Below are 27,204 nucleotides of genomic sequence, written 5' to 3' on the forward strand. Positions count from 1 at the left end.
TCGCTTCCTGCAGGTATTTTTCTTCCACTCTCTTGCTTTTGTAGTAACAAACCCCTTCTTTTTTGAAGTTCATGCAATCCAGCTACATTATGATCTTCTCTGGCTGATTTTTGCCATCTAGTACCTCCCCCAGCATCTCCTTTCTCTCAGGGAAGATTCTTTTGCGGGGTTCATGGCCTTCTTTTTTCTCCAAACTCTGTCATCATCCTGGGTGATTTCAACCTTCATAGGTCGGGCCCACGTACCACTGAAGCTCTCAGATTCTTCAATTCTCCCTTTCCAAAGCCCGTCTCCTCCACTCTACCTTAGCTGAAATCTACGCTTGCCATTCTCTGTGCCAGAATCCAGGGAGCTGAACACAGCTTGAGAAATAAAGCACAGGGCAGAATAATGCCATAAATTCATAATCAGCAACCCCAGTTAGGCCTTCAACACGGCCTGGCAATCTTACCACTATCTAGTTTCCTAATAACTGCTCCAATTGCCTAGTCCTTCCATTTTCCACAGTAACATTTTCACTTTCTCCTCTAGCCTGAAACCCTGGACGTTCAAACCACCCCACTAGAAGATGGCCTCATCTCTTATATAAAGAGAAAATGCAAAGATTCAGACAAGAATTCCCTCATCATCTGTCTACCAAAGTACAAGTCTATCTAGATCTGTAAACAAACCACACATTTTCTTTTGGTAAAGTAGAAGGGCTGGCCCTACTTTTGAAGGCCATTAACTATTTCTTGAATTGTTTTCAATCTTCTCACTTTCTTAGGAAGTTTACCATACATTGTACTCCTTCTCTCTCATATATCTCAACTTCTCCTTCCCCATTTGATCCCATCACTTAGGTTTCAACCATGTACAAATATGTGTCATATAGAGAACAAAACAAACCACATCCCACTCTAGTCACCTCTCTTTCTCCCACTCCTGACTGCCAAAATTCTGCAAATAGCTGTGTGTTCCTGCTGCTCCCACTGCCTCCCTTTCCCTTCACTTCCCAGCTGACTAGGCTTTAGCGCCTGCCTCCTCACTCCACCTCACTGCCATTGCCAGGGTGCTCAGTGATCTCCAGGGCATTACATCAAAAGGGGAGTTTCTGGTACTCTTCTGTCCTTCTTGCCCTCTTAGCAGACCTTTTAAGATGTTAACACTCTCCATGAAACATTCTGAGCCCTTTCTCTGTGATATTCTTCTGTTATTTCTATGTATATCTCCTTCCACACTAACCTTATTTCCTTAGCAGAATTTATCATCTGCGGCCCAGCTACAATGGTGACACTCCTCAAGGCTCTGGCCAAGAACTTCTATCCAGACCCTATTTTCATCCTAGATCTCATTCCACCTCAGGGCATCAGTTCTTAGCTATATGCAAATGATTTCCAGACTCATATCTTTAGCCAAGAATGTTCTTCTGAATTCCACTGGTTTATCTGACTTTAAGTTACAAAAGTACCCCCAATTTACTGTGGTTAAAATAAAAGAAATAATATGCCTTTCAAAATAAACCCTCCCTAACATTGCACTACAATCCATTTCAGTGCACAAGCCAGAAACCTAGGTGTTATCATTGACAATCTGCCTTTATTCTCTCCCTCTGTCATACTTAATCTATTGCTAAGTTCTATCACTTCCAAACCCTATCTCCAGTGCACGTGCTTTTCTCCATCTCTACTGCCACTCTTCTGGCCTCATTCCATGTCTTATGCCCAGACTGTGACCTTACTCTCTCAACTCTCTCTATTGACTTTAGCCCCGTCTAGTGCAGTCTCTGAAATTTTCAATTCACAATACAAAATTTGTTCTGCCATTTCCACTTTTTAAAACATTTCAATGGATCCTCATTTCTCTTAGGATAAAGACTGAAAGGTATCAGAAGGCCAGCAGGATCTTGCCTGAATCCCTCTGACTGTGCCCTCTCAGCTACAGCTTGATAGGCTTTCAGTTTCTTGCATTTACCCTAGTCCAGTGGTTCCGAGCCTTTTTGGCACCAAGGACTGATTTTATGGAAGAAAATTTTTCCACGGACAGGGTGGGGATTGGGGGGATGGTTTTGAGATGAAACTGTTCCACCTCAGATCATCAGGCATTAGATTCTCATAAAGAGCCGGCAACCTAAATCCCTCACATGTGCAGTTCACAATAGGGTTCATGTTCCTGAGAGATTCTAATGCCACCACTGATCTGACAGGAGGCGGAGCTCGCTCCAGTGGTAATGCTCCCTCCCCACTGCTTACCTCCTGCTGTGTGGTCGGGTTCCTAACAAGGTTAGGAATTGGCACCCATTCATGGCCCAGGGGTTGGAGATCTCTGACAGTCCATTCTGTCATTAAACTATCGATCATTCTGTTCCACCTGCCTAGAACTTTCTGTCACTCCCACCTAGTTAACTATTCTCTCTCCTTAAATATCTACTAACTGATTATTTTCTAAGTGAAATCTTCTCTGATTTTTTTTAAACCTATTACCCCCATTATATGGTCTCTATGAACCATTTTTAATCTATACATTTTCTTATACAACAAATTTATATATTTATAAAAACATTACTAAAGCAGACATACATATAATACCCCCAACATTTGCTTAACTTTGCTATTTTATCATGGAATTATTCTTCCACTGTAAAGAAAGTGGGTACAAGAGGTGGCTCTTAGGAATTAATGCCTCTCCTAAGTCAGGCAGTCAAAAATATTTGGCGGTTCTTCTCCATCAGAATTTTCAACTCTCAGTCTCATCAAGCTTTTTCTCCTTTCTTCAAACCAGCAATGGCATGCCCAAATAGAGTTTCTAGAAAATATAACTCCTTATTGCAAACGTTCTTTTCTTTACTGGCCTACTCGTGACCCTTGTTCTAATCTCACAGGACATTAAGAAAGATAAGATGATTCATATTGGAGGAGTGAAATGGGCAGCTAATATGTGCCCTACAAATTCATATCAACCAAATCATATGAGCTGAAAGAACTTGCTTGAAATGAAAAAAAAAAAAATAAATTGCTTTTGGAGCTAGCTTTATATATGGGTAAAATTAAACTCAATATTCTGCTTTGCCCGTCTGCCTCAAGCCTGGAGTTTAGACTCAAAACAGCTTTTCAACATAGACTTTAACTATTAAAGTAATAGAAAAATAAATAACTTCAGAATCAATATATCTGGAAAGCCCTTGACTACTTATAAAGTAAGCTGTGTTTTCCCAGTATATTAGATTTAATTAGATAAGTTAAATCTAACCTTCAGAGTTTTAATTATATTAAGTAAAGTTTTACTGATTTCATTTAATATGTTATCATCAAGGGGCCCAGTTCCCCATAATTATATGAGAAGGCAAGCTCTGGTTTTTGTGGCAGTCCCACTTCAAATTCAGTCAGGCTTTTTGTGTTAGTGTGTATTAGCATTCTCAAACATGTTATTTAACTGGGAGGTGAAAAGTCCGTCTAGGAGTTTAATGATGAATGTCATTCCTTGCGTAAGCCTCCTGGCTTTACCGCTCCTTAAATTCTCATGGCAACCCACTGACTTTATTGCTTCATGACACTAAACACACACTTCTGTGATCTGTACCCAAGCACATATGCCTGGTCACTCTTAGTTCTAAGGTTTGTCTGGGGCAGTCCTGTTTATGTCTACTTCTTTTGGAGTTTTAATCAGTTATCAATTGACCTAGGAAAAAAAAAAATTCTATTTTGACCAATAAACTTATGGGCACAGAGGCAGGGCTGTGGTTCAGAACATAGGCTCTGGAGCCAGACTGCCTGGATTCAAGCCTTTCCTCTCTGGTTTTGTATTGCCAGCTGGGGCAAGTCACTGTATGTTGTGTGTTCCTCAGCTATAAAATAAGGAGCACCATTCCTGTGAGGATTACATCAGTTAATGTGTGTAACATCCTTTGCAAAGCACCTAGTATGCCCTCTGTTCGTATTAACCATTACTAGTATTAGCTGTATGATCTTGGCCAGGACACTTAGTACCATTGGTCCTCATTTTACTCATATGTAAATTAGAGGAAGAATACCTACCTCACAGGGTTATTGTGAGTCTTAAATGAAACCTAATATCCTCAGTAAATTGCAAAGTACTATACAAATTTAAGCCTTTGTGAGTTAAAGTAATTTAACTCACAAACACATGATTAATTACTCTTCATTAGGCTGCTAATAGTGGAACACAAATCTTATGAAGCAACACTGTAAGCCATGCTTCCACAAAAATCTTCTTGTTTAAAAGAAAAAGTTGAGAACAAATTAGTAAGACCAAAGAAATTGAAAATTTCATAGAATACCCTTATTCTTTATTTCAATTTTTTATAAACATAAAACGGTTGTTATAAAATTAATTTACATTGAGTACCTTCTGGTAGTTTTTTCTCCTAGTATAATCTGTGTTGTGCATTTTTTAAATACCCAGAGTAAAATTCTGCTCTATAAAGTCACAGAAGTTCCCTATGTCATTACAACTTGCTTCTGAACAACAGTAGCACTGCTAGATCTGACTGGCATTCTGCTCCCCAAATCTACTTAAATAGTAGGTTTAAGCACCACAGAATTCCTGATACCAGAACTTGCAGTATCCTTAAGGCTGTTACAAAAGAAATTTAGCCTTTCTGTGAGGGAACTCTCCTGATGTGGCACACAAAAAATACAACAACCAAGTATGAAAGTAAAGAGATATTAAATTAATTAGAAATCATTAGACACTTTTTCGGTGTTGAGGAGTTAAGGAGTAGGGGCCAAGACCTCCTCATTAACTTGGCCAGAAATGACAGCATGGTTTCTGTTGGTCAAGAAAACAGGTGTCAATCACCAAAACTGCATTTTGCTTGAAAACAAATAGGAAGCATTTTTCTGGATAGCTTTCATCTAAATAAAAGTTAGCAACCTGCCCACCGTTCTGGAATGAGTTCTGTTTCTTCCTCACATTTTTTCTAATAGAATACTGAATAAAAAGCTACAACCTTTCCTAATTTCTAAACTTGCCAACCACGGCAAGTGACACAGCATGGCACGGAGCTTCTTGTAATACCTGACCGTGTTACATTAACCAGTCTAGAAAACAGGAGTAGTAACCTTACACTATTATCCCTTTAAGAATTCCAATAAATAGAAATCATCTAAGGCTTTTCACTACAAGATTTGCTTTTCATTTTCCATTTCTTTGATACTTTTCTCACTCAAGTACTTTCCTGATTTAGTCTTTCACTCATTTCTTCCCCAAAGTGGCTGTAATATATTTCTGAGAATCTTTTATTCATTCCTAGAAAACAAAAAATGTCCAAAATAGTTTGCTTTCTTTTTCTGCTTTGTAATGGTCTCATTTCTGTGATGTCAAAGTTTTATACCTTTTCCCTGACTCCCTTTTCAAATATAGAAGCGGAAAGTGCATAAATAAAACAAAAAAAATTGAACAAGCTAAAAATAAAAACTGACAAAGGTAGAAAACATTCTGCAATATTCTCAACTCCTTCAGAAATTGGAAAATGAAACTAAAGTTTACCACCAATGGACTAAAAGTGCCAATTTCCAATAATAGCTAACACATTCTAGCAACACAATTTGGTGAACAGCCTCTAAAAGGTCATTTTTATATAAATAAAAGAAAGTATTGAAAACTAAATTAATAGTAAATGCTGAAGAATATACTATACTATTTTCCTCTTTCAACTGCTCTTTTCCTGAAGAGACATGCATGTTTTTTTAATGGAATGAATTTATAGTCTATCATTTCCCTGTTCCTTCATTATTTGTAACTTTTTCACCTTTCTTAAATCTTTCTCACACTATCAGACTCAGATTAGATATGATCTCCTTCAGGAGGCCTCCCCTGACACCCAAATTGGGCTAAAACTTGATATTTATGTTTTCACAATACCTGGCAGTACTCACCCCATTATATTCACATTATCTATTTTCTGAATCTATTCTCTTACTATAAGGTAGGACTTAATCTCAGTCATCTTTCTATTCCCAGAAATAGTCCTGACAAAACAGTGTGTATAGAATATATATTTGTTGGATGCCAGCAGGAAAGTCTTAAGAGGTAGACAAGTACAACGTGGCCAAACAACAATTGCTAGTCTTTCTCTTGCCTCTACACCATCAGAGACGCTCTATCCTCTGAGTGAACGGCTGTCTCTCCACTCCCACTCCCATGGCCCAGCTAACTTCCTGTCACTTTTTAAGCCTCAGCTTAAAAAGCCTCATTTGTCACTTTCTCTAGGACTGCTGAACTAATAAGCCGGAGTTAGGAGCCTCGTCTACAGCCTCCCTTATCTATCTAATTTTCTCTACTATAGGACTCTGCTTCAGTGAACTCTTTGCTTGTCCAAATTGCCCAATTAACTATGCTGTATGAGAACAATGAGAAAGGACACACTGTCGCTACTGAATCCCTGAAACATTAACGTTGACTATTAGGGTATGTGATCAAGAAATAACTGATATGTCTATGGCCTTGATGGTTTTATAGGTAAATACGTATCCCCAAACTCATTGAGTTGTATACATTAAATCTGCACAGTTTCTTACATATCAATTATATTTCAATAAAGTGGTTTTAAAAATTCATAAATATCCTTTATCTGTCAAGATCAATTAATAAACATTCAGAATGAATACACAAATCAAGGAATATAATCCCGCTGTCATACTGAAATTGCTTGGGATAAAAATTACACAAATACTCCATTCTCATTTTCAGATTTCTAGATAATAGAAGAAGGGCCGGGCGCCGTGGCTCACGCCTGTAACCCCAGCACTTTGGGAGGCTGAGGGGTTGGATCACGAGGTCAGGAGATCGAGACCAACCTGGCTAACATGGTGAAATCCCATTTCTACTAAAAATACAAAAAGATTAGCCAGGCGTGGTGGTGGGCTCCTGTAGTCACAGCCGCTCGAGAGGCTGAGGCAGGAGAATGACCTGAACCCAGAAGGCGGAGCTTGCAGTGAGCAGAGATGGCGCCACTGCACGCCGGCCTGGGCAACAGAGTTAGACTCCGTCTCAAAAAAAAAAAAAAAAAAAAAAAAAAATAAGAGTAGACAAATGTGAAGACTTTATTTTACACTGAATTTATTTTGGGAATAATGTTTTAGAAATTCTTTTCACTGAATTTATTTTAGTAATAATCTTTCAGAAATTCTTTTCACTGATTTTAGTAATAATCTTTTTGAAATTCTGTCACCTAGTTGAAATTCATCAATTATTTTATCAAATAAACAATAATTGAAAGTGTACCCAGGAAAGGTTGTTTTAGGATGTGTATCAGGTCTGAATTTATTAATTATACCTAAATTACACAAATTATACTATTTTAAAACTTCTTATTTCTGATTTTGTTTTTTAATACCTGATTTTCTCAGCCATCTGCTTTAAGTTTTCTGGAGTTTGGGGAGTTTTTGACCACTTTTTGAATTTTTCTCCTTCTAGAAAATCCCTTTGCCATGCTGCTCTGGCTCAGTTCTCCTGTTAGATTTCTAATAATCCCTCTCTGTGTCCTCTACTGGCTCTCTTCTTCCTATTAACGGAGACCTTTATTTTAGTCTTTTGCTTCACATTTTCCCCTCATTGCTTCAATGATTCTGTCTTCTTCCACGAAACCATTGCTATTTTGTTAACAACTCCTAAATGCATATCTATAATCTGTTTTGTTTTGTTTTGTTTTTTGAGACGGAGTATACCTCTGTTGCTCAGGCTGAAGTGCAGTGGCACAATCTTGACTCACTGTAATCTCCACCTCCCAGGTTCAAGCGATTCTCCCGCCTCAGTCTCCTGAGTAGCTGGGATTACAGGCATGCGCCACCATGCCCGGCTAATTGTTGTATTTTCAGTAGAGACGGGGTTTTGCCATTTTGGTCAGTCTGGTCTCGAACTCCTGACCTTGTGATCTGCCCGCCTCGGCCTCCCAAAGTGCTGGGATTACAGGCATGAGCCACCATGCCTGGCCATCTTTAATCTTAATAACTTCTCTAAGCCCACACTTCTAACTAGGTATTTCACTGATATTTCATATTAATACACACAACGTTAAACTCATTTACTTCTGAATTTTTTTATCCTTTAGGATGACACCATCATTCATTGTCATCCAAGCTCAGAACTCAGAGCCATATTTTACTCTCTTGATCTCATCATTAAAGCAGCTACCAATAATGTATGCTGTACTACTACTCTAGTGTAACTCATGTCTACCTCTGCATCCTACTTCCATCATCATCATCTTCCTTTAGAATCTTGTTATTTGCCTAGAGTCAACTATGTGACCACCTCCCAATAATTTTCTCTACCACTATCTCTATGGCGCTCCCATCTATCCAAATTCCAACAATGCATGAACTATGAATAAATGCCTCTCTGCTTGACCTTCAAACCTGGCATAGCAAGTTTCACCTAAACTTGAGGGTGTGAGATAGAAGAAATGAGAAAGGATTTATTCTTATTCCAAACAGGTAGCACAATAGATGCTCAACAAATATTTCCTAAAATGGAATTTTATTATGTATTATTGAAATGTTATCATGCCACTCTCCTGTGTAAAGAGCTGTAATGGGTTGCCATTGTCTAGAGGATATAGTTTTCACTTCTGGGTATACCCTTGGCTCTTGTATGCCTCCTTCTTCCTTCTCTTGCCACTTGTGGCCAGGCGCTCTGGGATCCAGCCGTATGGCACCACTGGGTGCCTTTAGTAATGGGCCTATGCACTTACCACTCCCTTTGCATATAGTCTCTCTTTTATTATTTGTATGCCTCCTATTTATCCCTTAAGATTTAAGTTCAGAAACTTTATTGACCCATTCTGAATTAGCTGCTCTTAAGATAAAGCATAATTCTATCATTAACGCTTACTACATCTGTCTGTTTCTCTGTATCTCTCTCACTCTATGGTAAGGTCTTTGAAGTCAGGAATCCATCTTTTTTTATTCCCCGGAGTCTACCACAGTACTTGTAGTTCATATATTTTGGTGAAAATACTTTTTTCTTCTATTAGTTATTCAACCAACTAGCTATATGTCCTTGGACAAACTTATTTAATTGACTGGATTTAATTTTCCACTTCAGGCCTGTTGGCCTCTATGCTGTGCTACATTCAAACCAGAAAACTTGAATTTTCTAATGTTTATATTTTTTCCAATGTCATTTTTAACTTTAACTTTTTGGAATTTTTCCTACTTTTAATACATCAGTGTCATATACCATTATCTAATTTCCCCCCCTTTTTTTCAACCTTTTAGTACTTTGTAAGACTTCTTCATAATTACAAAAATATTTTGCCAAATATTAGAGTTAATCACCTATTCACCTTATTCCATAAACTATGACATAAAATGCTTTGTAGTAGCCGGGCGCGGTGGCTCATGCCTATAATCCTAGCACTTTGGGAGGCTGAGGTAGGTGGATCACAAGGTCAGGAGATTGAGACCATCCAGGCTAACACGGTGAAACCCGGTCTCTACTAAAAATACAAAAAATTAGCCAGACATGGCGACAGGTGCCTGTAATCCCAGCTACTCAGGAGGCTGAGGCAATCCCAGCTACTTGTGACGCTGAGGCAAGGGAATCTCTTGAACCCGGGAGGTGGAGGTTGCAGTGAGCCGAGATCGCGCCACTGCACTCCAGCCTGGGTGACAGGGCGAGACTCCGTCTCAAAACAAAAACAAAAACAAAAACAAAAACAAACAAACAAACAAACAAACAAAAAGCTTTGTAGTAAGAACCATGTTCTATATGTTTTTCTGTTTCTCCTAAATAACACTGTCCCTGCAATACAGATTAAAAACTCACTGTTAAATTAATGAAAATCTGTGTTACAATGAATACTAGGACACGTTGTAAAAGAACTCGGATAGCAAAACTGGGAGTCTGAGCAGAAGAATCTTTCACTACATTAAGCAGTATCTTCTTTTACGACCTCTATAATTTTGAGATATAATGTTCCTATTTACCTATAATTCTTTCCTTCAGCCCTAAGCCTTCAATCAACTTACTTTATATTCTCATTTGCAGGTACTTCAGGCAGTTGCACAGTAATCATGCCATCCAAGTTGGTCTTCCCAATGAAGGCAGGCTTGGTACGTAATACATCTGGTGCAGTCTTTGCCGTGACCCTGTGCTGCAGCCCACCAGCACTGTTTCCACGATTTGTCAGCACAAATGAATATGATTTCTCAGGCTTCAGGTTGACAATTAACTTCTGTGTGGCTCGGCCATCCACTTCTTCTACCATTTTCCCATCATCATAAAGAATCTAAAGAGATAAAACCAATAAAAAAAAAATCTGGTTATCAGAGAGGCAAAATATATTTTCTAAACCAATGTGCACTAGCTTTTGGAAAATGTATATATAGTCAATTCTAATTTTAGGTGATTTCTAAGTCCATGAGTAGTCATAATTCTGGAGATCACATCAATTTTCCTGTCATTTCCTACTGTGTAATGATAAAATGTTTCCAAGTCTATCAAAAATACACAAAGATAGATATATACATATATATATATAGAAAATAACTTATCAATATTAGACCTGTCAGTTGTATGTGATCTTAATGGAATATGTGCAGAAAAGCTCTACGTTTCAACGTATTATGAATATTGCCTATTTTCTAAAGGTTTTGGTTCCTCTTTCTAAATATACTTTTACTTTCAAAAATGTTTCTCTATTTCTTATTTCATAAATATGTACTTGCTAACATCTCTTAATGGCAAGCCAGAGTTTAAAATGTGCCAAGAATACAGGCCAACAAACAAATTCAGAAACTCCCAGGGTATTATAATATAAATAGGTAGAAACCATGTAAATTTCATTCTCTGGCTGAAAAACAAAAGCACTAGCTTAGATGTAAAAAGTTCAAGTTCAAAGTAGTAGGTAACCTACAAGTGATGCCAGCCCTGGATTTAAGCTCCTGCTCCTTCTTCAGAGTGTAAAGGACACACTTACAAAGCACCAAACTGTCTCCCATGTGAAAGTCACAAATGAAAATAGCAAGGACACGTGGCCAAAACAAAGTGGTCTGCTTGCTGTGCAAATAACTTACCCAGATAAACTGTCCCCTCTACTTTTATCTGTGATTTCTTACAAATTAGAAAACAACTTACTTTGAAAGGCATGGCGGAGTTATAATTCTCTGGAATCTCCCAAGACAGCAACACGGAAGTCTTCATTACTGCTTTGACATGAAAATTTTTTGCAAACACTGCTGGAAAAGGAAAAACAGTGTATTTAAACTATTCTTAAAACAGATGACCTGTCCTTTCCACCATGGACCATAGGGGCTTATGCTAGATGCTGTCTACTTTGATCAGAGAGAGAAGTATGATTTTCCTACCTGTTTAGAGCATTCATTTTAATACCCCATTCTCACAGAGATCTTTCCTTTCTCTCCAATTCAGCCAACTCTATTGTGTTTTCCTTACCTGAGGACATTGGGGTGCTGTCAGCCAGACTTGCTTGACATTCTATAACTGAAATCTAAGGCATCCAAGACGTAGTAAGTTTTACATACTTTACCTTTTTGTTTTTGCTGAACCTATTAATATGAATGGGCTGATCAGTTATTATAGCTTCAAAATACTGATTTCCAAAGACTGACAATCCTTTAAAGGAGGAAGGCCGTAAGCAGACAAATCCTACCTTGATCCACAGGCAGTGTCCTGAACTGGACACTGGGACTATATGGCCCGGGCCCTTTGCTCGTATGAGCACGTACTTTTACATCGTATGTGGTATCTGGTTTTAAGCCAGTGAGTGTCATAGTGGTGTCAGCTGGAACAATAAGCTGCTCCATCGGGAGAAGGGGGATGTTGATATCCCTATAAAGAAGGGTATACTTGGTGATAATGCCATTTCTCTCTGCCAGGACAGGTGGTTGCCAAGATAACTGGACGGAGGTTGAAGTGGTGCCTTCTGAGTGAAGGTTTTGAGGGAATCCAGTTGGTACTTCTTCTGGAATGGAAATCTCCTTCACCATCTCCTCCCCAAAGCCCACTTTGTTTCTGGCTGAGAGCCTGAAGACGTATGATGCTCCCTTGTGGATGTCTGTAGCTGTAAAGTGATCTTCTTTTTCAGAGAACTCAAGAGTAGTAAGTGGCTCCATATCCTTGCGGCCAAATTTTAGACGGTAGCCCTGAAGAGGTCCAAATGTGTCCACCGGAGGGTGCCACTGAATAAGAGCAGTATTCATCTGAGTGTGGTTAATCACAAGCCGAGGTTTCCCTGGAACTGGAGCACATGGGATGGAGTGGTAAGACCAACCAATCTGAACGTTCACATTTCAGTCATTGCCAAATGAGGGAGTTCCACTCTACTGGTATTCCCATTTTCTTACTTACCAAAACAAAACAAAACAGGCAATGTTTGACCTACATACCTTTGTGGAAATATGCTCCTTGTCTTACTTTATTAAAGTAGGCTGAGATACTAGAATTTGATAATGGACACAAAACAGAAATTATCATTGAAACAACAGCTTAAGGGGATTTTTTTGACACCTGCACGTTTTAAACCTTCACACATAAAGGTTCATATCAAAGATAAATTAATTTGAGCAAAGATCAGCCAATTAGATATGGCTAATAAGAATAACTATAATGATTATTTATTCGTTGAATATGTGCAATGTACCGGCGTCACGCTAAGTGCATTGCATATAGTATTCACAATTGGTTTACATTCCTGACTCCTCACTACATTCTCGGATTAGTTATTATTATCTCTATCTTCTATAATGAGAAAATGAGGCCCAGAGAGGTAGAAAACTTTCCAAGGCTAGCATGTAACAAGTGAGAAATCTATAAGGCAAACCCACCTCTGTCTGGAGTCGACTGCTTAAATGCTTAATTGTGCTGCTATGTTGCTTAAAAGTTTAAAAAAAAACCAAACTACAAAATAATATCGTATTGACTTACTATGAATTTAATTTGCACTTTCTAACTTTACTATCCACATCATTCATCAAGTTCTTCATCTGTAAAATGGGAATTATATTAAGAGCTATTTTATATTGTTCTTATGAATAATAAATGAGGAAATTCATGTAAAAGTCTTAGCATGAGGTTCTGCATTCTATCAATATTAACCATAATTATTAATAATCTGAATATTAAACTTCTTATGGTGAAAGGCTAGCTTCCAATGAATACATAATTTATTTACCTTTAAGTTAGATATGTGAAAAGGTCTAATCTACTCATTCAATGTATTATTATGTCTGTATTTATTTTTAATGGAGAGCAATTATTATTGGAATCCACAGTGAAAGACATTGAGGGATGATCATCAGAATAAAAACTAAACCAAGTTAACAGAAAGAAGAAGAAAGGCCAAGTATGGTGGCTCATGTCTATAATCCCAGCACTTTGGGAGCTGAGGTGGGAGGACTGCTTGAGCCCAAGAGTTCAAAACCAGCGGCTGGGTGTGGTGGCTCACACCAGTAATCCCAGCACTTTGGGAAGCAGTGGATCACCTGAGGTTGGGAGTTTGAGACCAGCCTGACCAACATGGAGAAACCCTGTCTCTACAAAAAACACAAAAATAGCCAGGTGTGGTGGTGCATGCCTGTAATCCCAGCTACTCGGGAGGCTGAGGCAGGAGCATCACTTGAACCCGGGAGGCAGAGGTTGCAGTGAGCCGAGATCATGCCACTGCACTCCAGCCTGGGCAACAAGAGCAAATTCCGTCTCAAAAACAAACAAACAAACAAACAAACAAACAGCTTGGCAACATAGCAAGACCTTATCTCTACGGGGGGAGGGGGGAAGGCATGGTGTCACATGTCTGTAGTCTTAGCCACTCAGGGGGCTGAGGTGGGAGAATTGCTTGAGCCAAAGAGTTTGAGGCTGCAGTGAGCTATGATCACACCATTGCTGTCCAGCCTGAGTGACAGTGAAACTGTGCCTCAAAATTATGAATGTGAAGAAAAAGAAAGATGGTAGGAAAGGAGGAAAGCTTACAGTAATGGGAAACAGGTGATAAAAAATCATACCATGGGGATATAGATGAAGGTAAAAAAATCACTAAAAAGATTATGAGACAATACATAGAATATTAACCTCAGAGATGGACTGATTAGCCTCTTCATTTTGTATTTCAGAAAGTGAAACCCAAGTGGAGATGTGCTCTGCTCTAAGAAATATCATTAAGATATTTATTTCCTTAACCAATGGAGCAACAGTTTTGTTTCACATGCTGGGAAGATTCATCACATGCTGATATAACTCAGCTAATCTACAATGTATGAAAACAATAGTTTCTAAAGTTTTTAGATAAATAATTATTCAACAACATGTGTGCTGTGTTATACATATAAAACATGTGTGTTGTGTTGTATATATAAAACATGTGTGTTGTGTTGTATATATAAAACATGTGTGTTGAAGGTAGGCCCAGGAACCACATCATTGTGTACTCATTGTGTTCCTCAGGAAAAATGCATCCAGAGATCTTAACGACCAACACACACTCTCAGAACACCACCCATCCATAAGTTGGAAACTGTGTGAACTATTCCACTTGCTTTTAATATATTTACAATTATCTTAATTTTAAAATAGTACTTTAATGTAGGGACATTGGCAGACATCTTTAATTCCCCTTTATGTGTATAGAGCATTTACATGATTTGTCCAAATGTCAGTGATGGTGTCAAGGATTAAACACCTGAGTCTCTGCTGAGAAAAATCCATGGTGAAATAGAGCTTTCAACAGAGAATACAGCCTTCAATATATGAAACTCCGTTGAAACGAGTGGGTGGAAACACAACTATTAATTCTCAATATTCTCCAGAGGCAACAGATTAAACATATTTATTAAAATTTTTTGAAATTCTAGTTCCAACGAACTGCATAATAATATATACACCGTGTATCCTGTTTCCGTGAGATGCACGTAAAGCTAGGATAAATAAAAATAATTTTTTGATCTAAACCACAAATAGAGACTGCATTCTAATATTTGTCATTTATGAGCATGTTCTTAGTAACTGATGTTTCACTTTATAATATTGCTATGGTACACATTTGGATAAATCTAATGGGCTGGCAAAGTCTAGGAAAAAACCCACTGACTTTGTAGATGTATACATTTACTCTTCTGTGGGAGTTAAAGCTTAGGATGGAGTAATCTCTTTTGTTTTTGATGTTGGCATGACCTTTCTTATCCTGGGACAGAAAGGCTTGTTGGCTAGGAATCACGAGATCAAAGTAATGATATAGAAATAAGAGCATTAGCTCTGACCTACTGGCTTCCCCTGCTGTACAGGAGGATCTCAGTCTGCTCTCTATTGCCAAACCCACAACAGTCATTCCTTCCCTGGGCAGAAGTTTTACTAAGCCTGAAAACTATGAGACAACCAGCCTGGAAGTGCCACAAAGCATAAAGGAAGGACTCAGTAAAGAAATGAATGCTTATGCAGCTTGGGGAAGAACACCCAATATCACCTCAGGAGAGGCTGGCCACATGAAGGGTCACACGAAGCGATGCCTAAAATTTCCATAAGCATGTGAATAATAGAAACAGTAAATGCAGTTTAAACAGGCTGGAGTAAGGGTTTGGGACAGTTGTGGTATTTTATCCAGGGAATCAGGATAGGATAAAAAAGGGAAAAGGAATGAGGAGAGTTCTACATCATTGAATACATAGTTAAAAAGAATTCTCCCAAACTCCACAGATTGGCAATGGAACTCACTGCATTCCTGGCTTCCAGAAACACTATAGGTATCAAACATTTACCAACAATTCACTTTGTGCAAATACTTGTACACTGGCACACAGGTAGTTGAGTGAGGAAATAAAGACGGATGCAGCAGGGTCCATGTTCTCTAATACAGGCATATTCTAGTTGGGAAAATAATCAGGTGGAATAGATTGTGCAATCTGTGGAGTCAGGTTTCTAATGCCTTAGGGTTATTCTGTAGACTACTTTTATAAGTCATGCCAGCTGTTGGTTCAATGGTTCTGCTCACTCCAGCACTGGAGCTTGAGGGTTGGTAAGATGAAAGGGTCTTAAATAATTACTCAGGGGAGTTGGAAGGTCATTTTTCAGCAGGGTCTTAATGAACACATTGGAAGAAGCAGAGAAGGTCCAGTTACAAAGTAAATAACTCTAAAACTTACGTCATGACATATAAACTCTTCTCCCTTTTACATTTTCTTATTCTCTTACATTCTTTTAAAAATTTCCTAGGACTTCAGAATTGGTACGTATGTGTGGTTGCCCTTTACTTTTTAGCAATTGGAATCATTGGAGATCAACCGAGGTACTCAGTCCCAGTGGCTCTAAATTTAGCCCCAATTTAAACTAGTACCAACGCAACAACAATCACAATTGACTAGACTTGGGCTAATATTTCCAAATTCTCCCTGTCACAGTCATCTTTTGATTATCCTTAAACATAGCTGTTCAATATAGTACTGAAATTCATGTAAAAATATACAGAAAATGTCAAACCAATGAATTTTCTGTTTGCCTTTAACCTCAAGAACTCAGACAGTAAACTAATTATTACAATACAGAATAATGGGAGGATTAACAAAGAAAATACAAATATTTCATAAGCATTGAAACATAAGAGCCAACATTTTCTTCAGAAGCATCCTTGAGGTTATATGAATCTTACGTAGATTACTTAAATTATGATCAGTACTCGTTTCCAAGATATGATTCTTTACAGGTTGTAGAAACAAGGTATAATAAACAAATATCCCACAATCAGGAAGTTTACTATTAAAATAAAATTTCACAAGAATTCCTGAATTCTTTGTGGGAGCTGTAACTAAATACCTTTACAATTATGGTTATTAGGAGCTCACATCTGTGAGATAAACTCAGTAATTCTTCACAGTCACATAAATATACGAGGATTTTTAATACAGTAGACAAAACAAATTGATATATTCACTAATTGCCTAGGGATAAACCATGAGTAGCGGCTGCTTATGCAAAGGAAAACTAGAGCTTCGCTCTTAAAGGAATTAAATTTGGATTCTTCTGCCTTCTTCCCAGATGCAGTGGGGAGGTCTTACAAAAGTAAACGTGTAGGCATCTAAATTACAAGCATTTTCTATCTCAATACCGAAGCCTCTATTGATTAAGAAGGATCTAAAATTGTGAATGAAAATTCCAAAGGAATTCTATATGTGAATAAGTTCCAAAATTCTAAAATGTCTACTGCATGGTAAATAAAAAGGGATGAGCTAGCCTTAGTGACGTTAAAATAGACAAAATCATTCCTTTCTCTAAAATTCATATTCCTCGGCTATAAATCCACTACTTTCTTGTCATCATAACATGACCCCATTTAATGGGCAACAGGGGAGTGGTGCTTCATATAAAACATTTCAGAGTTATTATGACATATTTATAAGTGTAGGTAAATAAAATGTATTTTCTTCCATTTGAGATTCAATTCTTTGTTGTTGACGTTCTAACAGAGACTGGATCCACAGCCAGATAGTCATCATGCCATCATGCCCCTCACTGAATACATGCCTGCTCTTCAGGGCATTAAATTAGCTTGATACAATGGTATTTAAAAAAAAAAAAAAAAAAAAGCCCAGAAGACTCAGCCTTGAAGGAGTTTTGCCATCTGTAATCCTGCTGTTTGAGGCAATTCCAGGTGGCAGGATGCGAGCGAGGCAAATCTTATGACATTTAGACAAAGCTGGCAGTGAGCATGGCACGCAGGAGGGCACTCAACATCACAGCTGTTCTTTACTTTATGCCTTTACATAGAGGTATGTTCCTAAAAAGATATTTGAGAAGTGATTCGGGCAGAGTAAATCAAATCATGGTTTACATGTTCACGGGAGATTGCCATATATGAGGATTGAGGAGAATCCTTCTGCAATTATCTCTTAATTTACTCATTCTACAATGCCAGATTTTCCTTCATGCTGGCTTTTCCTACTGTGGCTGACCAAAGTCATCCTAAAAAGCATTGAAGAAACCTTATTCTTTAGAGGGGAGTAATTTTATACTATTTAGCCTTCTTGCTTTTCTTCTTTTTCTTTTTTGTTTTCTATCTTTTGTTCAGTTTGGCTTCTTTAGAATCCCCACAGCAGGGGGTGGGGAAGACAAAATGACAAAAGGTAGAACTGTAAGTCATGAACCCAGTTCAAGATGGCAGCTCTTCTAAGGGGATTTGTTTTCCAGGGAAGTTGACATTGTTGCTTGACTTCCCTGCCCAGATCCCTTCCCTCCAGATCTTCATGGGACTTGATCCTTCACGTCATTTGAGTCTCGACTTAAATAATCCTTCCTCTACCAGAACTTCTCAGCCCCTAGAGGCTGCCTGATCCTTAATTGCCTATACGCTTTTACTTTTCACCTTACCACTTTCTGACATTTTATTATATACTCGTTTTGTCACTTGTTAATTATCTAGTCCTATTCAGAAAGTGAATTTCATGAGTGTAGATTCTTGTTCTGTTTTGTTGATTGCTTCATCCCCAGTGCTGGTAACAGTGCCTGACACACAGAAGGTGCTCAAAAAAAAAAAAAAAAAAAATACTTATTGAATGACTGATTGAATAGTTTGGACAAATTATGCACTTGGACTATTTTTTTCCCTGATCTATTTTTTTTTTTTTACCCCTGAACTAAAAACACAAAAGTTGACCATAGTCCATTTATTTCCTCTGATTTTACTATAATAAAAGCCTGCTAGAAGCTACCTATACCATTTAAAAAGTTAGTATTACTGTTCAAGGCACATACATGCACAGACATGATTACCTGCCCCAGTGGTGGACACCAGTTTGGGCTTGCTGCGAGCACCATCTCCTTTGGTTGTGTAGGCTGTGACGGTGAGGGAGTAGGAAGTTTCAGGCTGGAGCCCAGAAATGATCATGTCCTGAAATGACAAAATAGAATGTCACTGATTCAAAACATGCTACTAATGCTCTGGGGGAAAAACAAGGCCGTCTGCCTTCATTCTGCAAATGCTCGCACATCCCTTGCAGCCATGCTAAGCCCTGGAAATTTCATGCCTGAGCTCATGCTATGGAGATCTGTTTTCATGCTGATATCGAAGGGGCATCTTCAGGCATCTTGGGAGGTAGATCTTAGGGTATTAGTCAAAGACATGAAATCTGGAGCCAGACTTCCTGAATTCTTAAACTTAAACTTGCATGTCCTTACTAGCTTGGACAGACCAAGTATGTTTACCTATCTGTGCCTCCATTTCCCATCTGAATGTTGGAATTATAATAGGACCCCATAGGATTATATGAGTTATATCAGGTAAACTCACAGAACTATGCCTGGCTTATAGGAAGCATTCCATTAAAGAGTGATTATTTTATGCCAACAGCTCTCCACACATATCCACTGTAACCCACAGACTACAGATGGGGCTGATGCCAGCATAGTCTGTTTTATCACTATAGACGAATTTTGCCAAATGGTTGTTGTTGGACCTAGATACCCTGAGAGAGAATTTTCTTAGGACTCTCTTATTAATGGATTGTATTATCATTTTTATTGGTTATTTGTATAGGCTATGAGCAGAAATCATTATCCACTGAGGAGAATTTTCACACACATTAAAAAGCAGCCATAAAAGCAAAGAATACAACAGGACTTTAGTTTTACCACATCACTAGTATGTGCTCAATTTATTTTGACTTTCTAAAAATTGTTAAATATCACATACTATTTACCTAAATTCTTAGTTTTCTCTTAGTCAGGGCCCAAAGCTGTGGTGGTTATAAGACCAGATGCTCTTTGATATATTCCTTTAAACTGCAGGTTATGGGATTCTTTAGAGATTCTGGCTATTAGCTTATTCTAGTATTTTAAGAACAAATACCAGAGCTGCATGTACACATGCGCGCGTACACAGACACATGCGCACACACACAGACACACACAGACACACAGACACACACACACACACACACACACACACACACAGCAATATAAAAACCCTTTCAGATTTTTGGCACAGCTGTGTTTTCAAATTGAATATGGATAAATTTAGGAAAATGCACAATGTCATTGTCTTCCAAATCTAAAGACAATGTGAGTGACGAGTACGAATTATATTGTGTGAAATACAGTAGGTTTTTTTTTAGCAAGGCTGTAACAGATACCGTAGAGCTCAATTGTTGAAGCTGATCCCAAATATGACAGTTTCTGGGAACATGCTTTCTCAAAAGAGTAGGAATATCTCACTGTGGAAATTCAAGAAGTTCAGATATCATCCTGAAGAGTCACTGGAAATTTTATTCTGCCAGATAAATGGACTATTTGGGAGAAATGTTGTATTTCCAGGACCTTGGAATGGTTTCCCTAACATTCCAGAGGATAGAAAAACCAAGTAAACTACCCAAGAGCAGTATTTTAAATGACAGCAGACACACTGGCTATCCCAAAAACTATCATGAGTAAATGCCAACATTATGGTTTCCAAGGTTCCCCTCACATGCCACTGGAGTACTGCTGAAAAGCAGTCATGGCTAACTGGAAAAAGCAGCAAGGCTTGCTTCCATCACCAAATTTTGTAGCAAGAAATTATGCACTCTGAGACTTATATGTTTCTTATCATGAAATTGGAGTTAACCACACATATCCATTATCTTGCCCAGGTTGTTAGAGGATAACAGACATAACGCAATTTGAAATGCGTCAAGTTCCCTGCAGTGGTATAATCTCGGCTGGACACACCTCCAACTGCCACGGTCATATCCTTTCTTGGATTACATTTTCTTTCTTTAAGTGGTGGGTGCACTTCCTTCCTTGGTTGTTTCAGTATGCTCTGTGAGGTGATGTGCCTGATATTATGGCCATAATTCCTCATTCTCTTTGTTTCCTCCTGTCCTGTCTCCACTTTGCTTCTTGTCCCTGACTGTTAAAAGTTGGCATACCTGAGGTTCTGTCACAGTCACTGGTCTACTGTTTCTCTAATCTTAAAAAAGAAACTGCATTCATTTCTAAACCTTAAATAATTATTTCTGCCCATATTCCTGATTTATTTCCAGCTGTGACTTCCAATCTGAGCTCCAGTGGCATATACATTGTAAATATCTGCTAGATGTTTTCCTGTGACTACCCAGTGTTACTTCAAGTTCAAATGAACTAAAACTTAAAAATCATTCCTGGAAGTAGACTCCCCCTCCTTACTTCCATATTTTAATGAACGGTAACACATCTGCAAAACTTATGAGCTATCTTTGACCTCTTTCTCTTCCTCAGTTCTTAGCAAGTTTTTGCCAATTCTTCCTTTTATTGATCCTAACTATCACTTTTTCATTTCTACTGCCTCAACTCTGTTGCATTTTTATCACTTCATGACTAAATTAGCAAAATAACTCTTTTTACCTGCTTTCCTATCTGCCACCTTTTTACTCTCTAATCTATCCACTAAGTCACTGGATTTTAAACTGCAGGTAATGACCCATTTAGTAGGTTGTGAAATCAATTTAGTCAGTCATGACCAGAATTTAAACAAAGAAACAAACAAACAGAAAATGAAGTGGAATAAACTTGAATACTTAATGTTAGTGTTTATTATACATTTAAAGCATGGTTCTATAAAAATTTTATTTTAGTTAAACAGAGGTGTGCATTGAATCATGACATACAATAATGTATTTCTTACTGTGAGTTATAGTCAAAGAAGTTTACGGTCAAAAATGCTGCTGCACTGGCAATCCCATGAGAACTGATACCTTGCACACAGTTACAAGATTCCCAACAAGAGCCATGTGCATTGGCAGTAAATATTCATTCAGTGAATGGAAGAATACCGTCTTGCCAGCCTTTAACTCATTTTTCTTTTTATTTCTTCTATATCACTCTAATATTGAAGAGTTAAAGACTGACCGGCCAGCTTTTTAGCTTGACTCTTCTGGTTTTCCCAGTATTATATTATAGTTTACCTCTTAGCTCTATTTACCACTGAGTTACTTAACACGAAGCCTTCATTTATATCAAATTGTCAGGCTCACTGTCACGTGACTATACCACATGCTCAACTGTCTCAATGACTGGTTTTGCTGTGATCAACTTTAAAAAATATGTATGTTCCACCTCCAACTCTCCAACACACACACACACACACACACACACACACACACACACAAACACACACACACACACACACTTTTTCACTTATTCAGTCTTTAGTCATCCCTTAAATTCTCAACTAAGCTTCAGGACTTCTTTTACTATCTTGGACCACTGTCTCTGAATTCATAGCTTTTATTGACACTGTCCACTAATTTACTAATGCATGGTCCACTGCTGTAGGCCATATATTTTGCTGCGTTCTATGAAACTTTTCAGAACTTTACTCTTCCCTAGCCACTTAGAATGTAAACACTAGAAAGGCAGGTGTCACATCATGTGTCCCTTGCAGTGGCATATACATAACAGTCCCTCAATAAATAACATAGAGTTTTCATTCAAATATTTTAAAAACATTCCTCCCTCAGCGACATACTTTCTACTTCTTGGCATAATCCATTCACCATTCAAATATGTATGGGTAAAGTGAAGAACAGCCACTTCTAGTTAGAGTTAATCAGTGCCAGATCTATATCTTGTTATCTACTGGATATGCGATCCTGGAGTCAGATTTATGAGCATTATGAGCAGCCTACACCAAACAATCTGACATCTCCAGTCTGCAATGCCTTCATTTAAAGCAGGCTTATCCAACATGCAGCCCAACACAAACTTGTAAACTTTCTTAAAACATTATGAGATTTTTTTCTGTTTTAGCTCATCAGCTGTAGTTAATGTTAGTGTATTTTATGTGTGGTCCAAGACCATTCTTCTTCCAATGTGGCCCAGAGAAGCCAAAAGATTAGACAACACCCCTGTGTTTTAAAGCATGCCTCCTCTGACTGTCACAAGGCAGAGTTAGTAGCAGCCATCAAAACAAATATCACAAGCCCATGACATTTCTTACGCAGTCAATAGCACCATGCTGATTTCACAAAACAAAAACCAAAATAAAAAGTGCACCACACAGTGAAGATAACTTAAAAATAATTTGTTAGTTCATGCATCCAAGCAAACTGTGATGACAGATCACAAATAAGTGAAAGGATGTCAGAGAAAACAAGCATATATAGTCTGCTTTTGACAAAACAGTCAAAAATTACTCACATGTTCAGTAGTATCATCAAATTCCCACTGATTGAGAATAAGAAGGTTGGGAGGAAAACAAAATAAAAAGAAAAAGAATTTAAAGCCTTATACAGGCAGTGTTGCCCTTGTTAGATTAAAAAAATCAAAAAAATAAAGCAGTGTGTACAATAAAATTCCAAAGAATGTGTGATTTGCTGCCACCTCCACCTCTGATTGGGAAGTCAAATTAAATATCCTTTGTTACTGTTATCACTAAAACCAGCTAACATTCTTTAAATGTATGGTTCACTGAAACATAGCAATGAGGCACAGAAAAAGTTAATGTTTCTAATCATATCCTACTCGTATTTATTTTGACTTCTATCTTAAGTTACACAATTAAAAGTCACTATTTAGATTAATATCTTTCATTATATTTGACACTTATAACTTCAATGAAGTCCTGTGAGATGTAATGAAATTTCAGTGAAGAGTCAAGGAAAGTAAATGAGATGGGAAAGAAAGAAAATACACAAGGAAAAACAGCAATTAATAAAGAAAAGCCAAAGAAGAAGAGAAAAAAAGACAGAGTTCACATTTAATGCATTTGGTATTATATAATTTCGTTAACTACCATATTTTGCAATGGAACTAGGGAGAGAATTACAGTTCTGTAATGTAAAATATCTAAGAACCAAAGGAGAACACCAAAGCACACTGGTCATATTGTTTTCTTTTCCATAATTGTAGACTTACAAGATAAAACGTAGCAATGATGGCTTTAATTTTATACTACGATAACTTTCTTTTTATAGGCACTACATAATAATTATTTATACAAATCAAGTCAATGGCCCCTTTCCAGTGTTGAAGGGGTATTACGAAGCACTACTGCATTTACAGAAGTGGCCTCGGGGTAGATAAGTGAGCAATGAATCCAGATCCCTTTACTTAGAATGTTTCAAAACTGAAGAAAACATAAAGACTTCTGAGAGTTGACTTGTATTAAGACTTTGGGGGTAAGTACTTTCCTTAGAGGCACAGGGATATTTATTGCTGTCTTATTTTTTTATTTTTTTAATTTTATTTTTTGAGATGCAATCTTCCTCTGTTGCCAGGCTGGAGTGCAGTGGTGCGATCTTGGCTCACTGCAAACTCCACCTCCTGGGTTCAAGTAATTCTCCTGCCTCAGCCTCCCTAGTAGCTGGGACCACACAGGCGTGTGCCGCCACGCCTGGCTAATTTTTGTATTTTTAGTAGAGATGGGGTTTCACCATGTTGAGCAGGATGGTCTCGATCTCTTGACCAGGGGATCCGTCCGCCTTTACAGACGAGAACGTAGAACTGGGCAACCTGGTGCCGCAGTTTTCAACTTGCTTCATAACCTTTCCAACTTTCACACAAAGAAACGCATTTTCATTTGAAATAAATTTCAAATGTTTTTACAAACTCCATCCTTTTCCCTGCCAAGTCACCAATTTCTTGGATAATGAAAGTATTCCAATGATCATAATATCCTATCCCCATGACATCTCATCACCATTTGACACAGCAAAGGTAAGCCAGTACATGAGTCATGTACAATTTTCAGCATGGTGGTTACAAGATGAAATCTTCATCTTCCTTTCAGGAAAATATGTAAAACTCAAGCGAATTTATTATGGGACTATCTTTGAATCACCTCTAATTTATGAAAAATTTTGGAAATTTTCAATGCTCTGTTTTAAACAACTAATTATAAAACCGGGTTGTGATACCATAGTTGCAAACCACTGCCCTAAGATCAATACAATTTCTCACATACTCAACTACTCATTTTTAGTACCTTTTTTTTAAACCTTGGTTCAACGTAAGGATCCCACTTATTTGCTAGGAAATTCTGATTTAATTTTTAATATCATTGTAACGATCTTCATTTGCTGGGACATGAAACAATGAGTTTCATCAAATATGTAATTTGATGAAGAAGTACTAAATATAATACTGAGTACCTGTCCCTGAATAAAAATGTCTATTCTTCAGTGGAAGAAGACACACATTTAGAAATTAGAACAACTAAGTTGCAAGTTGTTTTAGCACAGAAGAAAGTAGACTCCATCAGCAAAATTGCAGTTTAGAAATCTTCCCTTTGACTCAACTAAGTCAATCATTTTTTGAAGTCAGAAAGGCAAACTCAAATATGGTTGTAAAGGGTTGAATATCTGTATTTTAAGGAAAAAGTAACATGTTTTTAATCAGACTTGAGTGTCATTTCATTACAATTCCCTTCCTCACTTGATAGTAACTCTGATTGAAAAGATCAATATACATCAATGTGAAATGAAAACTAGAATTTTGTATAGGATTTTTTAAATGTCGAAAAACTAAAATAAGAGCAATTTCAGGATATGAACTAAGATAAACTTATTATATAAAAACAGAGGTACATAATTTCAGAGGCTTACCTGTGCATCAGCCAGCATGACATCTTTCAGCATGGGCTGGCCCTTGGGCTCACCATTTTCCATCCTCACATAATGCACCTGATATCCTCTTATCTGGCCATGCTGTTTATTGGGCACGGGTGAGCGCCATGAGACTTTAACAGATGTTGAGTTGACAGCCTCTACCTCGACTTTGCGAGGAGGACCACTAGGAACTGGAACAACATCATTGGATAAAAGAAATTATAGGCACTTGTCCCACCCTATCAGAGCATTTTCTGCATTTTCTTTACTTAGGTTTCTCTTTCAAAAAATGGGTAAACCCACTATGTTTTCTTTGAAGAATACAAACATTTTCAACCAATGAAAATGCTTAACCAATCTGCTCTACCTTTTAAGAAAAGATCAAAAAACATGACCGATGCAAAAAAAAAAAAAAAAAATGGAAGAAAAAAAGAGTATCAGAGAAATAGAAAAACATGTAAAAAATGTACAAAAGCCAAGGAAGATGCTTTGAGGTTCAAAGCATTAAAGCACAAAGAGGTATAGCATTGAAATAATAACAAAAACTGGCTGTTGATTGTTGTGTGTTTTTTAAAGGTTTCTTTTTAAACGGCAGAATAAAAAGATTCTTGATTATATGTATTATCTTCTCTTTTTTTCTCATATCAAAGTTATTCCATACAAAAGATGCCAAAAATTCAATGTTGAGCATCAATGTCTCTGAAATATGTAAGACAAAAAGGCAACAAAAAGGTAAGAAGGTAGTTTTGAAAAGTTAACTTCAAAATGTAAAAGAAGTGACTACAAAAAGCCAAGAAAAACACAGAAGACTTTAGATGGAGGCACAGAGACGGGCTGGACTGCAAGACCATAGGAGCCAACAGTTCTTTTAAAGAGAAGCAAATTACTGCATTGAGATTGAAAAAAATGAAAAAAAAAAAAAAAAAAAAAAAAAAAAAAAAGGCCAGGCTGTAGCAAAGACAAGTCTTTGGCAAAAATACTAAAGTAACAGCAATGCTGGGTAAAAAGATGAGCAGAGAAAAAAGATTACTGTGAGCCTATTGAAAGACAGCAGATCAAGACTGTGTCAGAAGGGTGCAAACTGACGTAGCGGAGGCAACATACCATCTTCATTGGTTCGAATCAACACGGACAAGCTCTCAGGGCCAGGGCCGACATCTGTATGGGCTGTCACAGTGATCCGGTATTCAGTCCATTTTTCCAGCTGTTCCAAAAGGTATTTGGTAGTGTCCGAAGGAATTCCCAAAATCTCGTGAGGCTTGTCATCTTCCCCATCCACTGCAGTGTACTTGATGGAGTATTCAGTGATAATGCCATTCTGTTTTTCCACTGGTGGAGGTTGCCAACTTACCAAAATACTAGTGGAACTTGGGCTGGTGCAACTAATGTCTTGAGGAGGAGCTGACGGCTCTTATTTTGGTAGTGAGTTAAAGGAGGATTTAAGTGAAAGGACAGGAGTGGTTGAAAAAAAAAATGATAAAACAAAAGAAAAGGCAAAAATAAATAAACGAACAATAAGGACAAAATGAAAATAAGGCTTTGAAACTTAAATTCTAATGACAAATTATGTACCTTGGCTTAGTAATATGAATAAACCAAAAAGAGAATTAATGACCAAAAATAATTGTTAAATAATGGGTAGGGGGAATATGTGAAAATGAGACCTCGAGATAATGGAGCCTCAAATAAAATTACCTACCTG

General features: G+C 37.7%; 1 protein-coding gene across 55 annotated transcripts in view, besides 1 other annotated feature; it reads right to left on the reverse strand.

Annotated features, from left to right (window-relative positions):
* PTPRD (protein tyrosine phosphatase receptor type D) overlaps positions 1–27,204 on the reverse strand; it is a 2,298,757-nt gene that overhangs the window by 159,902 nt on the left and 2,111,651 nt on the right. For 20 of the 55 annotated variants that reach the window (XM_017014961.3, XM_017014971.3, XM_024447625.2 and 17 more), the window contains 7 exons: positions 26,607–26,912; positions 25,500–25,693; positions 23,095–23,121; positions 18,715–18,832; positions 11,615–12,202; positions 11,080–11,180; positions 9,972–10,231 (listed from right to left, as the gene is read on the reverse strand). In XM_017014961.3, the coding sequence (XP_016870450.1) occupies positions 9,972–10,231; positions 11,080–11,180; positions 11,615–12,202; positions 18,715–18,832; positions 23,095–23,121; positions 25,500–25,693; positions 26,607–26,912 (1,594 nt within the window). The remainder of the gene's footprint in view (positions 1–9,971; positions 10,232–11,079; positions 11,181–11,614; positions 12,203–18,714; positions 18,833–23,094; positions 23,122–25,499; positions 25,694–26,606; positions 26,913–27,204) is intronic. The other 35 variants (XM_006716827.5, XM_047423649.1, XM_047423651.1 and 32 more) reach the window with 5 other exon arrangements.
* Positions 11,246–12,445: an enhancer, noted in NCBI's record as "MED14-independent group 3 enhancer chr9:8485393-8486592 (GRCh37/hg19 assembly coordinates)". NCBI's record gives its function as "activates an origin of replication core promoter dependent on BRD2, BRD4, P300/CBP and CDK7 cofactors, and independent of MED14, by STARR-seq in HCT116 cells {active_cell/tissue: HCT116}" and the evidence as "EXISTENCE:reporter gene assay evidence [ECO:0000049][PMID:35650434]".

The sequence above is a fragment of the Homo sapiens genome, chromosome 9 (assembly GCF_000001405.40).
Source record: "Homo sapiens chromosome 9, GRCh38.p14 Primary Assembly".
In the NCBI taxonomy this organism is placed as follows: domain Eukaryota; kingdom Metazoa; phylum Chordata; class Mammalia; order Primates; family Hominidae; genus Homo; species Homo sapiens.